The 16,473-nt window shown below is 36.4% G+C and overlaps 1 protein-coding gene across 2 annotated transcripts in view; it reads left to right on the forward strand.

Annotated features, from left to right (window-relative positions):
• AKAP19 (A-kinase anchoring protein 19) overlaps positions 1-16,473 on the forward strand; it is a 323,923-nt gene that overhangs the window by 189,526 nt on the left and 117,924 nt on the right. For both annotated transcript variants that reach the window (XM_047446008.1, XM_047446009.1), the window contains one exon: positions 10,867-10,936. The gene's annotated coding sequence lies outside the window, so the exon portion shown is untranslated. The remainder of the gene's footprint in view (positions 1-10,866; positions 10,937-16,473) is intronic.

Consider the following 16,473-nt stretch of genomic DNA (forward strand, 5'->3'; position numbering starts at 1 on the left):
CCAGAGGGTAGAAAAGAAGTCTCAAAAGGGGTGTGTGTGTGCATGCATATGTGTGTGTGTGTGTGTGTGTGTGTGTGTGTGTGTGTGTGAGAGAGAGAGAGAGAGAGAGAGAGCAAGGCAAAGACAGATCAATCTCCCAGTAGGGAGAAGTATGAACTGAGCATAATAATAAATTTATTTTCATTATATTTGATGACCAGTTTTCTGCATGATGTTTTCACTTACTTTAGAACAAACACAGGTTTCCAGAACAGCTGACAATATAGATTGAATTGGCAAATAATTTGTCTTTAGTTTTAAAAATTTTTAAAGTTAATGTTTCTAGTAACCAACCACTCCCCAAGAGAAAAATCTTACAATTAAATCTAAAAATAATAATTTTTTTGATTTAGATTTTTAAATGTATAGTTGTAAAACCATTTTTAGAAATCTTAACTCTCTTTACTCCATTGGTGGTTTGAAGGTAGTAATAGCCTTAGAAAAATTTAGTTCTTTCTTGGAGACTCATGTTTTATTTCCTTGGAATTGCCTAAAGCGTAGTTTTCCATAATTCACAGAGGATTGGCTTTCAGAGAGTCATTCCATTTCCAAATTCTTTTGTAAATTCTTAGAAAGAAGTATTTTTAAAATATATTCATCTGTTCATTTATACATGTATTTGTTCATTAAACCCTTATTGTGCACCTGGTTTATGATAGGTACTATGCCAGGAATTGGACACAGAAAAAGATGATGCTGTTTTTGCCTAAGGGAAATAAAAAACTTTAGGGCTATAGGATGTTAAGGTTATTCTATCCACTCTATTCATAAAGAGATGGAGAAACTGAGGCCCAGAGAGAGGTTATATGATTTAAATTAGAATTAAATGAAGAACAGTTTATTTAATTTGCAAAGGCAATTTACAGTGAAATACTTTTGAAGCACCAAGTACTTCTTTAACTTCTTTATGTTGAATTAAGAATTTTTTTAATGTTCTAAAATGAACAAATTAGGTCAGCGCTCAATTTCCTGGGTCAGTGCCACAGTGGTGCCCTTTGTTCTTGGACCCTATCCATGGTTCCGGCTTGGCAACTGAAAGATTCAATGAGCTGTTTTTGGCAATTAGTATAGGAGTTTTAATGTCTACTGACTAAATGTACTTTTGAAGCCCATTTGCTCAGGTATTGGGGTCAGTGTTTTGTTATATAACATCATTACTTAACTCAAATTTCAATATTTTAAATTATATATCTATATTCTTGAAATTTAACATTAAAAAGTCAGTAGTTTCTAGTTATTTTAACCACAGAAAGTTACAAGGAGTTATATCTTTGAATTTCTAATTAGTTCAGAACTAGGTACAACCTTGACTTATAGTTTAAAAAAAAAAAAAACTTTCATTTAATTAGATTTAGCATGAACATTCTGGCCCCTGCTGGGAACTCTAAGAACTACATTACTTCTGCTGTCAATTTTTCTAAGGTCATAAGAACTTCAGTTTAAACCTTGAGTTCAGCGAGTTCAGTGTGATATATTTTCCCTCTCTCTCCCCCCCCCCTTTTTTTTTGGTAACCTGCAGAATCTGGCTGAATAAAATATGTAAGTAAGACATTACTATGATTAAGACCCAAAATCTATGTTAAATATTGGATATTTTTAGATGACACATGAATTTAAGTCCCCAGTAATACAACAAATTTTTCTGGAAATCTAATATATTTTTTAAAAATCTCCATTCAAACTCAGAGGAGAAATCTGATGGGAAGAACTGGTAAAATTCAAATACTTGATAAAGTATGGTATAGTAAGGACCCTTTACTTAGATTTTCATCAAATACTTATGAACACCCACTATTTGGTTGTGGGTAAGCATTGAATGTACAGTCATGCACTGCGTAACAATCTCAGCAGACCACATAGATGAGGGGGGTCCCAGAAGATTATAACGGAGCTGAAACATTACTACGGCTTAGTGATGTCTTGATGATCCCAACTGAGTGTGGGCCTAGGCTAGTGTGTGTGTTTGTGTCTTAGTTTTTAACAAAAACATTTAAAAACCTTTTTTAAAAAGCTTATAAAACAAGGATATAAAGAAAGTAGGCTGGACATGGTGGCTCACACCTGTAATCCCAGTGCTTTGAGAGACCGAGGCAGGAGGATTGCTTGAGGCCAGGAGTTCAAGACCAGTTTGGGCAGTATAATGAGACCCCATCTCTACAAAAAATAAAAGTGAAAAATTTAGCTTGTTGTAGTGCCACACACTTGTAGTTCTAGCTATTCGTTTTTTATCTTTTATACCATATTTTTTACTGTACCTTTTCTATATTATATGTTTAGATATACAAATGCCATTGTGTTACTATTGCCTGTGGTATAATATAGTACAGTAACATGCAGTAGTGGTTTGTAGCCAAGGAGCAATAGGCTATACTATGCAGCCTACCTATGCAGTAGATTATACCATCTGGGTTTGTGTAAGTACATTCTATGATGTTCACACAACAGTGAAAATGTCATGTTAAATATGATGTTCATACAACAATGAATTGTGTGCTTCATAAATATTAAATATGAAAATGTGTCAATAATAATACCAGTAATATCTAACAATATTGATATCATTAATATTAATTTGTATTATAAATCTTTGTAAAATTAAAAATTTCTAAATTAAACTTTTATAAAGTGAACGATGGGTTTATAATGTACACAAGATGGAGATGTAGAACAAAATGATTAAGAAACTAGAAAGAAAAAAGTCAGAAAAGATATACCAGACAAATGCTAACAAAAAAGAACTGGAGTCATGATATTAGTCACAGGTTTGAATTTAAGACAGAAAGTAAAAACAAGACAAGGAAATTTTATGATGGTAGAGGAAACACTCCACAGAGAAGATATACCTTTCATAAATCTTAAAGCATGGAACGATTTAATAAAAATACATAAAGAAAAACTGCAGAACTGCAAGGAGAAAGGGTAAGAAACAAAGCAGTAGTAGCAATGCAGCCATAAAAAAGAACGAAATCATGTTCTTTGCTGCAACATGGATGCAGCTGGAGGCCATTATCCTAAGCTAATTAATGCAAGTACAGAAAAACAAATACTGCATGTTCTTACTTATAAGTGACAGCTAAACGTTGGGTAGTCATGAGCATAAAGATAGCAAAATAGACACTGGGGAGCACTGGAGGGAGGAAGCTAGGGGAAGGGAAACAAGGGTTGAAAAACTAACTGTAGGGTACTAAGCTCACTACCTGGATGATGGGACCAATCATACCCCAAAACCTCAGCATCACACAATATACCCAGGTAACAAACCTGCACCCCCGAATCTAAAATAAAAGTTGAAATAAAAAAAATAATAGTAGTAGCAGACTTTAATTCACTTCATGGATCAAACAGTTGAAAATTAGTAAGGATATAAAGTATTTGAACAATTAAGTCAATGAGGTTGATGAAAAAAATTTGTAGTGAATGCTATATCCTGACAATGAAAAATCAATCTTATTTTTTAAAGCCCATGAAACATTTACTAAATTGACAAATATTGTAATAAATGTCCCAAATTAGAAATAATCCAGACCATATTCTCTGATCACAGTATAATTAAACAAAAATGAATAGTCAAAATAAAAAATCAACATCTCTTCTTCTACTTGGAAATATAAAAATTGTTTAAAACAACTTTTGGTACAAAGAGGAAACAAGTGTTATCACAGAATGTGTACAAAATAACAGCTAAAACGTTACATACCAAAACTTATAGGAAACAACTGCTGTGTTTAGCAGATATTCATAGCTTCAAATATGTATTGCTAAACAAGAAAGTATGAAAATCACACACTCTTTAACTTAAAAAGTTAGAAAATGAACCATAAAATAGGCTACAAATTAAAGTGACAGCTAAAACAAAACTAAAAAGATAAAACCATAAATTGAGTCAGAAACAGCAAAGTAATCGAATTGATAATATAAATTTATAACTTTTTTAAAGAGAAAAAACACACTAGCTTAATTTATCAATATAAAGAATGCACAAATACTGTAAATTCAGAGGGAGAAAGATAAATGGTTTACAGACAGAGAATTAAAAGAGTATACTGCAAAAGTATTATGGAAATAAATTTGAAGACCTGGAAGACCTGTATGAAATGAACATATATAGATTTTCCAGAAAAAAACACAACCAGGAAGAAAGTGGAATACTCTGAAAAGTGCCAGTCTATAGATGATTCTTCCAAATCCTCAATGGACAGGTAATGTAGAACAGTATTTTTCAAAACAGTGTTTAGATATAAGCATTTTTTACAAAATAGAGTAAGAATAGAATAGAGTGCATGCTCAGAGTAAAGGGCAAATAGAATTATGGGAAACTTTTTTATCAGTGTATATACCAGGTCTCCTTTTGAAGTTGTGTTATTTACTGTGGGTCGCAATCAAAATATTAATACTCTAAAAGCCACCCTTCTAGAATTAAAATAATTAATAAAAATAAATATAGAAATAAATCTGAAGGCCTGTGTGAAGCCCAGAGAAAAATTTTAGCTACCATACAATACTGAGTCCTCCTATTCAAGAAAAGGGTGTGTCTTTCCATTTATTATTTGAGATTTAATATTTTCTTTATATTATAGGACCAGTGTTTCTTTACCCTGGTTGTACATTACAATCACTTAGTTAAAAAAAAAACTGCAGATATCGGCCGGGTGCGGTGGCTCACGCCTGTAATCCCAGCACTTTGGGAGGCCAAGGTGATGGATCACCTGAGGTCAGGAGTTTGAGACCAGCCTGGCTAACATGGTGAAACCCCATCTCTACTAAAAACACAAAAATTAGCCGGGTGTGGTGAGACGTGCCTGTAGTCCCAGCTACTCAGGAGGCTGAATCGCTTGAACCTGGGAGGCGGAGGTTACAGTGAGCCGAGATTGTGCCACTGCACTTCAGCCTGGATGACAGAGTGAGATTCCGTCTCAGAAAAAAAAAAAAAAAAATTGCAGAATATCTAGGCTCCATCACCAAAGATTTAGTCTGGTGTGGAGCACAGGCATTGTGTATTAAGAGCTTAACCCCAAATAAACCAAACCAAATTTAAAATGCCTTTCTCTTTATTTTATAAATGCAACGTACTTTCCAATTCAAACATCAATACATTTTTAAATATAAATATTTCAGAATAGCTAGGTAAATTTTTATAAGGAAAAGAAATGAGAGGGGAATATCACTAATGGATATGAAAACATTTTAAGGTGAAATAATTTAAAATGCACAGTTTTGAAAGAAGAATTTAAAAATAGAGAAAAGGCCAGGTGCGGTGGCTTCACACCTGTAATCCCAGCACTTTGGGAAGCTGAGGCGGGTGGACCATGAGGTCAAGAGATCAAGACCATCCTGGCCAACATGGTGAAACCCCGTCTCTACTAAAAATACAAAAATTAGCTGGGCGTGGTGGCGCGTGCCTCTAGTCCCAGCTGCTCAGGAGGCTGAAGCAGGAGATTCGCTTAAACCCGGGAGTTGGAAGTTGCAGTGAGCTGAGATATCACACCACTGCACTCCAGCCTGGCAACAGAGAAAGACTTTGTCTCAAAAAAAAAAAAGAGAGAAAAGGAGTGCAAAAGTAGATCAAATCATATAGGAAAACTACAGAAGAGATAAAAGTGTCATTTTAACTTAGGCCGTTAAGTAGATGGACTATATAATAAATGGTATTGGGACAGAAAACTAGCCATGTGGATCCCTGACCACTAAACCGTAAGCTCCATGAAAGCAGGGACAATTTTATATTTATCAAAATTTAAATCTCAAAAATGAAACCAGAAAAGTATGAGAAGAAAATGTGAGTATCATACACTATGATGTAAATGTTGGTGTCAAACATTCTTAAGCATGTAAATGTGCCAGAATTTGTTTGAGGTTCTTTGCCGTGATGAATTTAAAATTAGCTAGGCGTGTTTACCAAGCTTTTCTACTATAGCTTGGTAAATGTATTTAGATAAAAAATTTAAATTCCAACATGGCAAAGAAAACTTCTAAGTCACACACAATACAAAATATTTCGTAATTTTTCTTGTGATTATTTTTTGACCATACTTATTTAGAAGTATGATTAATTTCCAAATATTCAGATATTTTCCAGATATATTTTTGTTACTGGTTTCTAACTTCTGTTGTAATCAGAGAATGTAGTTGGTATTATTTATATCATTTTACATTTATTAAAAATGGTTTTATGGCCCACCTTATGTTCTATCTTGGTGAATGTTTCATGAACACTTGAAAATAATTTGTGTTCAGTTGTTATTGCATGTGTGATTCTTTAAATGTCAAGTCAGGTTTGTTTAAGTTCTATATAGCCTTTCTTATTTTCTATCTGCTCCAACTCTAATGATGAATCTGGCTACTTCTCTTTTCATTTGTCAGTTTTTAAATGTATTTTAAAGCTCTATAATTACTTGCATACATATTTAGGATTGTTATGTTTTCATGATGAATTAAATCAACTCTAATCATTATAAAATCATCTTCTTTATCTCTGGCAATATCCCTTGTCCTGAAATCAGCTTTGTCTGACATTAATATAGCCACCCAGCTTTCTTAGGATTAGTGTTTTTATGTTGTATCTTTTCCCATCCATTCACTTTCAACCTACCTGTGTCTTTATTTTTAAAGTGGTTTTTTTGGTAGACCACATGTAGTTGGGTCTTGTTTTTTTATTCAGTCTTATAACTTCTGCCTTTTGATTGGAGTTTTTAGATTATTTACATTTAATGTAATTTTCAATATGATTTGGTTTAAGTTTAGTGTTCCATCTGTTCTTTGTTCCATTTTTCTTTTTCTATCTTCTTTCAGATTATTTTTTAGTATTTCATTTTATCTCCACTATTGATTTACTCACTATGCCTGTTTTTTATGTAGATATTTTTTAATTATCATAGTCTACCTTCAAATGATATTTTACTGCTTCGTGTGTGATTGCCATCATACATTTTACCTTTACCTATGTTATAAATTCCCTAATGCATTGTTGTTATTTTTGCCTTAAATAATTTTCTATAAAAAGCCTTAAGTATTTATGCATATATCTATATTTTCCAGTGCTCTTCATTTCCTGTGTAGATAAGTGTTTCAACATAAACACTTTGGCATTTTGGGCTGGATTATTCTTTATTGTGGGGGGTTATGCTGTGTATTGTAAGGTGTTTAGCAGCATTCCTGGCTCAACTTATTGGATGCTAGCAACAACTCTCCTCATTTCATGCCCATTAAAAATGCCTTCAAACATTGCCAAAAGTTTTCTGGGGGGCAAGCTCTCCCCAGTGGAGAACCACTGTTAAAGATTGAAGTGTCTATATGATAACATTTTCCTTAAGCCTGAAAGAAATCCTTTAGCATTTATTTTACTTCAGGATTGTTGGGAACAAATCCTCTCAGCTTTTGTTTGTCTGAAGAAGACATTATTTTAATCTTATTTTCAGACATTTCACTGGATATGGAATTCTATATTGCCAACATTTTTCTTTAAACACTTTAAAGATATTATTTGTATTTCAGATTGCATTGTTTTGACAGGAAATCAATATTACTTATCATTGTTCCTGTATATAGTGTGTCTTACTCTTTGGCTACTTTTAAGATTTTCTCTTTGTCAGTAATTCTCAGCAGTGGTATTTGATATGACTTGATGTGATTTTCTCTATGTTAATACTGCTTTGGATTCATTGAGTTTTCAGGATTTGGGGGTTTATAGTTTTCATTAAATTTGGAAAAAGCTCAGCCATTATTTATTCATATATTTTTCTCCCCTCATCATTTTCTGGGACTGTAATGACACATACATTAATTAGACAACTTAATGTCCTGTAAGTCACACAGGCTATGTTAATATTACTGTTCAGTCTCTTTTTCTCTCTGTACTTCAGTTTTGATAGCTTCCATTGCTATTTCTTCTGGTACAACTGATTTTTTTTTCCTGCAGTATCTAATTGCCTATTAATCTAATCAAGTGAATTTTCATTTCAGATATTATATTTCATCTCTAGACAATTCATTTTTATGTCTTCTATTTTTTTCCTTATTATGCTCATATTTTCTTTTAAAACCTTGAGCATATTTATAGTGGCTGTTTTAAAGTTCTTTGCAAATTCCATTATCTATGTCTTTTTTTTTTTTAATTGAGATGAAGTCTCACTCTGGAGTGCAGTAGCATGATCTTGGCTCACTGCAACCTCTGCCTCTTGAATTCAAGCAATTCTCCTGCCTCAGCCTCCCGAGTAGTTGGGATTACAGGTGCCTGCCACCACACCTGGCTAATTTTTTGTGTTTTTATTTACAGACAGGGTTTAGCCATGTTGGCCAGGCTAAAATGTTAAACATTTAAAATGTTAACATGTTAACATGTTAACATGTTAAAAATTTTTTAAAAAATGTTAAAATGTTAATGTTGGTCAGGCTAGTCTTGAACTCCTGGCCTCAAGCGGTCCACCTGCCTCGGCCTCCCAAGTGCTGGGATTACAGGCATGAGCCACCGTGCACAGTCATTATCTATGTCTTATTTATTTATTTGTCTATTTCTATTGACTGTTTTTTCCCCTTAGTAAGTCTAGTAATTTTTTATTGAGTGCAGGGGATTGTAAATATTATGTTGTAGTACAGCTGAAGTTTGTTGTCTTCCTTTGAAGAGTGTTGAAGTTGGTTTAGACAAGGAGTTAAGTTACTTGTAGATCAAGTTAATGTTTTAAAGGCTGACTTTTAAGCTTGCTGGGGTTGGTCTACAGTAGCTTTTACTCTGGGACTAGTTTAGTCTGATTATTAATGCGTGACCTTTCTAGGGTTTTTTAATGCCCTGGGTATTCAACTAGTCTTCCTACTCTGGCTACTCAGAATTTAGAGCCCATTGTGAACTCAAATAAGTGTTCAGCTATTGTTCTTAAGGAGTTCTTTGCCTGGCTCATGAAGTTTCTTTCATTCTATTCATTTACAGCCTATTTCAGATTCAAGGGGACCTCTAGAGCCTTTCTTTGCATAGCTCCCTCCTCTCCAGCCCTTTGCCCCACAATACCTAGTCTCCTCAGCGTTTCCAATTACTGATCTGTTTCCTTGACTTAGCAAGATGGCTTTTCTCTTAGTTTTGTCCTCCCTGTACTGTGATCCAAAATCTGCCTCTAGGACAGTTCTGTGCATCACATCATTTGTTTCCCTTCTCCTAGGAATTATAGTCTTATGCTGCCAGTGTCCAATTTCTGAAAAGTTGTTTCTTATATTTTACCCTATGTTCTAATTGTTTACAGCAGGAAGGTAAATATACTACCTGGTTACTAAATGTGGCCTGAAATAGAAGTCCCCTTAGAATGCAAACATAGCAGAAGGGTGGAAATAAAGCACTTATGATAAGAAAAAAATGGCTTTCTTCTTACCTTTAGCCCAGAACCCTTAAAAATAAGAAGGTTAAAAACCCAATGGAAAAATGGCAAAAAGAAATATATATTTCTGATAAGCCTCTGAAAAGATGTTCAACCTCACTCATAATTAAATAAGAACAAAAATTAAAAGATCAGTGAAATACCATTTCTCATTCAAAATCAGGATAAGCATGAGAAAATAACCCCTTCTTTCCCTCTTGGTGGGAGTATAAATTTTACTTTTTATCCATTTTGCAGGACAATCTGGCACTATCTTTTAAATTTTTAAATATGCCGTTGCATTTGACCCAGCAATTCTATCTTTTAGGATTTTACCCTCTGATCAACTTGCATAAACTCTCAAAGATATTTGTAAAGCATGTAATGTTTCAAGTTGGGAACAAAATATATGTACAACTATTAGAAATTAAATAAGTTATAGTATCTCCAGCTAAATCTATATGTACTGACATAGAAAGGTAAATATCAAATACAAGTAGAAAGGAAAATTTTAGAATCCATTTTATAACTATGAAAAAAAACATTTCATTTATTATATGTATGCTTTTTCCATAGATATTTCATCCAGCTCTCTGACTTTTAACATTAATTTTCTGCTGATCTGCTCCAGACTCATATTCAACAGTCTATTTTACACCCCTTTTGGGTAGTTAATAGGAATTTTCAACTTAACATGTCCAAGGCAGAACTCTTGATTTATCAACACTACCCTCCCCACCCAATCTTCTCTATTTCAGTAAATTGTGCCACAGTTCAACCAGTTGCTTGCTCATGTCAGACATCTGAGAGTCAAGAAATTTTTCTCACTAAACTTCCTGCTCCACACCATTTAGTGGAAAGAGAGGAATCAGAAAGCTAGAAGGTTAAAAAAGTGTGGTCTAGTGTGGGCCACCAAACCCACAAGTATCATAAGTAACTACCACTTTTTTAGCTGGCAATGAATTTGTCACTGTCTCAAGCACTTCATATACATTATGTCATTTTATCTTCACAAAACTCTGTGAGTGTTCTCTCCCCATTTTATATTTGAGTTAACGATTTTGGGCTGGGCGCAGTGGCTCACACCTGTAATCCCAGCACTGTGGGAGGCCGAGGTGGGCGGATCACCTGAAGTCAAGAGTTTGAGAACTGCCTGGCCAACATGGCGAGAGCCCGTCTCTACTAAAAATACAAAAATTAGCTGGATGTGGTGATGCATACCTGTAATCCCAGCTACTCAGGAGGCTGAGGTAAGAGAATTTCTTGAACCCAGGAGGCAGAGGTTGCAGTGAGCCGAGATTGGGCCACTGCACTCCAGCCTGGGAGACAGAGCAAGACTCCATCTTAAAAAAAAAAGATTTTGAGCAATAATGCTTTAGGGAAAAATGAGGGGTGTGTGTGTGTGTGTGTGTGTGTGTGTGTGTGTGAGAGAGAGAGAGAGAGAGAAAGAGAGATACAAATCTTCTCATCCTTCTCTTTCTTGTTGTAGCCTATTGGACCTGCCAGCTGTTGGTGACCAGGTGAAATAGATATCCTGAGCACACCTGTTTGATTCCAAGGTAGGTGCTAGTGGCAACATATTACGTATTTCTTGTGAGGTGCTGATTCTCACAGCTGGTCTGTGCAGATATTATAGAATTCATTCTTCCTCGGTTATATAGAAACTCCCTTTCTTTCTCAGTTATATAAAAATTAGCTGGCTTTTTGTCTAGAAGGATGTAGTTTTTTAAATAAATATATTCAGTGTGACAGTTAGCAAAATCGCAAGACTGTTTTACAAATTAATTTCATCATGTTTGTGCTATATACCATTCACACAAAAAAATTAATAAAGACACAATGCCCCTGATGACCTCATATTCCAGTGGGGGAGACAGACTTGTAAACAGATATGTTAACATAGAAGGTGGTAAGTGCTCTTCTGAAGATTGAGCAAAGAGCTGTCAGTGCAAAAGCACAGAGGACTTTGTTGGAGGGAGTCAAGGTTTAACAGAATAGGTGACATTTGAGCTGGATCTTGAAGGATGGGCAGGAGTTTGCCAGGTGAATGAGGTGATCTCTATATAAAGTGCCTAGTAAAGGGTCAGGCACTTGGTAAGACCCAATAAATGTTCACATCTAGTTCCAGCTAAAGAAGTGTTCCAGGCAAAGGACATAGGTCAGTTCAATTCAAGGAACATTTATTGAGTACTTTGTATATGTCAGGCATTGGTCCAGGTTCTTTGGCCTTATGTGCCAGGCACATCTTGTGAAGATAGAGAATTATACAAGGGTCTGGTGTGAGCCATATTCAGATCAACTATTTATAGATTTTGTTGTCAGAATGGAGCAGGGATGTTTTAACACTGCTGACACAATGCATCTTGATTACAAACCTCTACTACTACAGCATTGAAGCACTGAGATGTAAGTAGCTAATGACTGTACAAGATTCCATTTCATGAAGGCAGTGATGACAATCTAGCCTGGCTTCCCCCTGTGTTCTGGGTCACTTTGATCTTCACTAGGGGATCAGGTTCAGGCAACAGCTCTTCCTAACAACACAGATGTAAAGGAAACTAAAACTATTTTACTCCAAAATATACTTAAAAAACATATTTTAAGATGGATACTGAGAGGGTCTGCAGAAAGGAATGGCCCTGCAAGGTTGTCTTTTGGTGGAGGAGATTTGTATTTGTAAAGAAAATGTTCATCAGTGAAATCAACAGCCATGCTTTCTCTGAGCCAACCCCCATCCCCCCATCCTCCCATCCCCCCATCCCCTGCCACAACTCCTTCCCTGGATCTAGGAAAGATTAACTCAAGCACAAGCTACCATCTATTTTTTCTGAGGGCATCCCTGACATTACCTGAGATATTTTCATCTGCATTACAAGACCTCCTTTAACCCATGCCTTTCCTCTCCTCTCCCTCCCATACCCTGTGACTCCATGTCCGCCAGAGCCCAGAGGAACTTAGTTCCAGAGAATTGTTTTGTGGGCTCATTCTTTTCCCCTGAAAATTATTTACTCCTAACCCGCATCTTACCTCTCCCCAGTGAGGCAAATATTTAAGCATTAACCATCTTGCCTTTTTTGACTTTTTCATATTTTGCATGACTCCTGTGCATACATGAGCATGTTAGTCAATTTGCGTGCCTTTTTTCTGTTATTCTATTAGTTTGTTTTATAGACTTAAATTATTAAACCCTTGGGGGAAAAATTTAAACTCCCCTATAGATGGAAGGGCGAGATGCCTGCATTTCCCTTCCAGCTCACTAACTCAGTGGGTTCCACTTGCCCTCTCCTCAGTAAGTCTCTTCATTATATCCAGCCACCAAATCTTGAAGCTTTATTCTATGGTATAGTAGGTAAAAATAAAAATGAAATCCTAAGCACCCCCCATTCCACAACTGACTTAACAGAACCACATCTTTCGGCCAAGGGGACCCCAGAGAAACTTTGAAAACTGAGTTCCCAGCCATGATGGGATGGGCTTTCTCCCCTAGGGGCTAAATAGAAACCAGCCCTTTCTGAAGACTCTACCACTGATACAGCTATCCACCTGACATTTTCCCTCCTTTTTACCTGGTAAGAGACCACTGAGTATGGAGTGGTTCTGGCCAGTCTGTGGAGTATGCACAGTGAGGGTTTTTGTGCCCTCTACTTTACCTTTTGATGCCAGAGGGCTGAAAACTCCACCCTTGGATCATGCCGACAGCCATTTTTCTAACATGGATCCCATGAAGAGGCATGAAGTTCATGTGGGCATGCATATGTTTCTCCTTTCATAAATATTCATGACTTTTCCTATAGCTTATTGAATATGCACATTTGGCCACCCCATTCAGCATAAATTCCTGTCTTACTCTTCTGACCCTTGAAGTATCTGTTTCTGGCTTCTGGCCAGAGGCCATGCTTCCCAGCCTGTCAGGATGGCCACCTGCAGGCTACAACCCTTTATGTGAAATAAAGCTCTCCTTTCCAAATTTCTGAATCTCATCATTCTTCAGTTGATATAGTTAATAGTATAGGATAAATAGAATTTATTCTGTTATATACATTTATTACACTAAACATAGAACCTATACATGCCCACATCGAAAACAGAACATTTCTAAATATAAGGAATATTCTATGACTGTTTTCACGGGCAGTTTTACTAGTACAGCTGGATTGCAAACAATAGAAGTAATGTGCTAGATGTTTTACAAATGTTATTTCATTTAATTCTCATAGCAATTCTTTAAAATAGGAATTATTCTAACCATTATACAAATTAGGAAGCTAAGGCACAGAACGTTTAACTTATCAAAGACTAAACATGGTAGAAATGGGATTTGGAGCCAGGTATATCCAATTCTAAACCCACTTTCTCTCCACTATAGCAGTTTTCCAGTATTAATGCTACCATTTATTGTGTTTCTACTTGTTCCAAATGTAATGTGAGATGCTCAAATACATTCTCCCTGATCCTTATAAAACTTAACACTTTTTAAATTGACAAGTAAAAATTGTATATATTTATGGTAGACAACATGATGTTTTGATATATGCATACATTATGGAATGGCTAAACCAGGCTATTTAACATATGTATTATCTCACATATTTATTTTTTGTGCATGGTGAAACACTTAAAATCTACTCTCTTGGCAGGGTGCGGTGGCACACCCCTGTAATCCCAGCACTTTGGGAGGCCAAGGCGGGTGGATCACTTGAGCTCAGGAGTTTGAGACAAGCCTGGGCAATATGGCAAAACCCCGTCTCTACTAAAAATACAAAAATTAGCCAGGTGTGGTGGTGTGCACCTGTAGTCCCAACTATTTGGGAGGCTGAAGTGGGAGGATCGATGCCTGGGAGGTGGAGGCTGCAGTGAGCCGAGATCGTGCTACTCTCCAAGCTGGGCGACAGAGATCCTGTCTCAAAATAAAATTTTAAAAATCTACTCTCTTGTCAACCTAAAGGAAGAAGCTGAGGCACTAAATATAATTTTAATGAGTTTACTTGAGCCAAGATGAGGACAGCTGCCCAGAAGACTCAGACCTGATAACCTTGTATAAGAGTTCCATTTGACCTTTGTGAAAAGTAGGTTTTTATAGGCAAAAAAGGAAGACGGTGGGCTGATACAAAGTTGTTTTTCAGGAATTCCCATTGGTTTACAGAAATGACATTGATTAGTGATTAGCTATACATTGTTGAACTCTAGGGCGTGAGTTATGGTGTCCATCATGCAACATTGTTAGGTTAACTTACAGCTATTTGCAGCGACAGTCAGTCTAGAGTCCACATAGCAAGAAGCTTCAAGAGGTGATGAGCTCAAGCAGGGAAAGTGGGATGTCACTGCTGCCTTACTCCCATGCCTCTTTGGGCCTGATAATTTAGAGGAGGCTTACATTCCTCAGAGAAGGTTTCTTTTCTTTCTCACTCTTAAAACAATTAAGTACCTTGCTTGTTGAAGTCACACAGCGAGCAAGTTACGGATCTTGACTTCAAGCCTAGGTTTGAGACTCCGAAGCCTATTTTCTTTATAATATATTATACCAGAGCTTCTGAACCTTGGGCATACATTAGAGTCAAATGGTTAAATTTGCACAAAGCCCTACCCCCAGAGAGTCTAATTTAATTGGTCTGGAGTAGAGCTCAGGTTTTTTTTTTTTTTTTTTCTGAGACAGAGTCTGGCTCTGTTGCCCAGGCTAGAGTGCAGTGGCATGGTCTCTGCTCACTGCAACCTCTGCCTCCTGGGCTCAAGGAATTCTTCTGCCTCAGCCTCCCACGTACCTGGGATTACAGGCGCCCACCACCATGCCTGGCTAATTTTTGTACTTTTAGTAGAGACAGGGTTTTACCATGTTGGCCAGGCTGGTTTCGAATTCCTCACCTCAAGTGATCCACCCACCTCAGCCTCCCAAAGTGCTGGGATTACAGGCATGAGCCACCTTGCCCAGCTAGAGCTCAGTTAATTTTAAAGCTTCTGGGTGATTTTAATGTGTTGGCTGGTTTGAGACCACTGATGGGAAGTATAGTTTATCTATCATGATAAATTGGTGGAAAATGCCCCTTATTGACTATTTTTTTGAGGCTGTATTATATAACTCTTTAATGTATTCACGTAGTCAAAAAACACAATAAAATTCCTTTAATCAGATTACAGTCTACAGACTAAACAACTGAGATTCAGTCATTTAATTAACTGACATCCCTTCTTCTAACCCACTTGTCGACTATTTTTAAGGTGATTGTATTTTCCCAGAAAGTACTGAAAAACATACAGGAAGGGACACGGGAGTACGATAACCTAACTTTCAACCTTGGCTTTGATATTTTCTTGCTAAATGGACTTTGACAAGTTACTTAACATTCTGTAAAATATTGATTATGAAAGAAGTAAAAGGTATTCTTGAAAAGGGTTTTATCTGGGGACAGATGGAGGGAATGCTGCCTCTGGTGGCCTCCTGTTGGGGTCAGATGCATATAGTGCATTGAAAAGGCCATGGGAAAACTTTTCTAGTTTTCCTAGTCAGCCTGGCTGTAAAGCCCATCTTCTACTTTCTGCCCCTGCTGCCAACCATTTCCCAAACCACCCTTCTCTTTACACCTAGTCAGGGGTGATTCCTTCATTGCCAGACCACATGGCATTATTGGGAAGTGGCCAGGAGAGGAGGACTCCCTTTTAACCATAGATGCCAGGGTAGGGAATATGTGCTTGAGGGGAGGGAAAGGAAATGGATATTTTCAATCTCATATTAGATTAGACATGAAATATATTTTACCATAGGAACAATCTCTGGATGGTAATTAGGTTTCCTGGTTATTCAATTAAAGCCTATTCATAATTTTGCCAGATATTTACAATATTTTATATGCAAATAACAGTGTATTTCAGTAACATTTTGGGTTCAATAGGCCTTGAAGAATTAGTGTGAAAGCTTAACTGTCATTTTTAACACCGCTTCTGTGAGAAATACGAGATCAGTACTTAGCACTCCAAGAAATAGTTTCTCTCGTCTCTAATTCAGCTTAACAAATATAGCGTTCACTGATCATCTAGTGAAGAGGGAATGAGGCAGCTGAAAGAATCCCATTTCCTCTCTGAAGTTTAGCAGAACTCTTTTAGC

Source organism: Homo sapiens, chromosome 2 (assembly GCF_000001405.40).
Source record: "Homo sapiens chromosome 2, GRCh38.p14 Primary Assembly".
Classification (NCBI taxonomy): domain Eukaryota; kingdom Metazoa; phylum Chordata; class Mammalia; order Primates; family Hominidae; genus Homo; species Homo sapiens.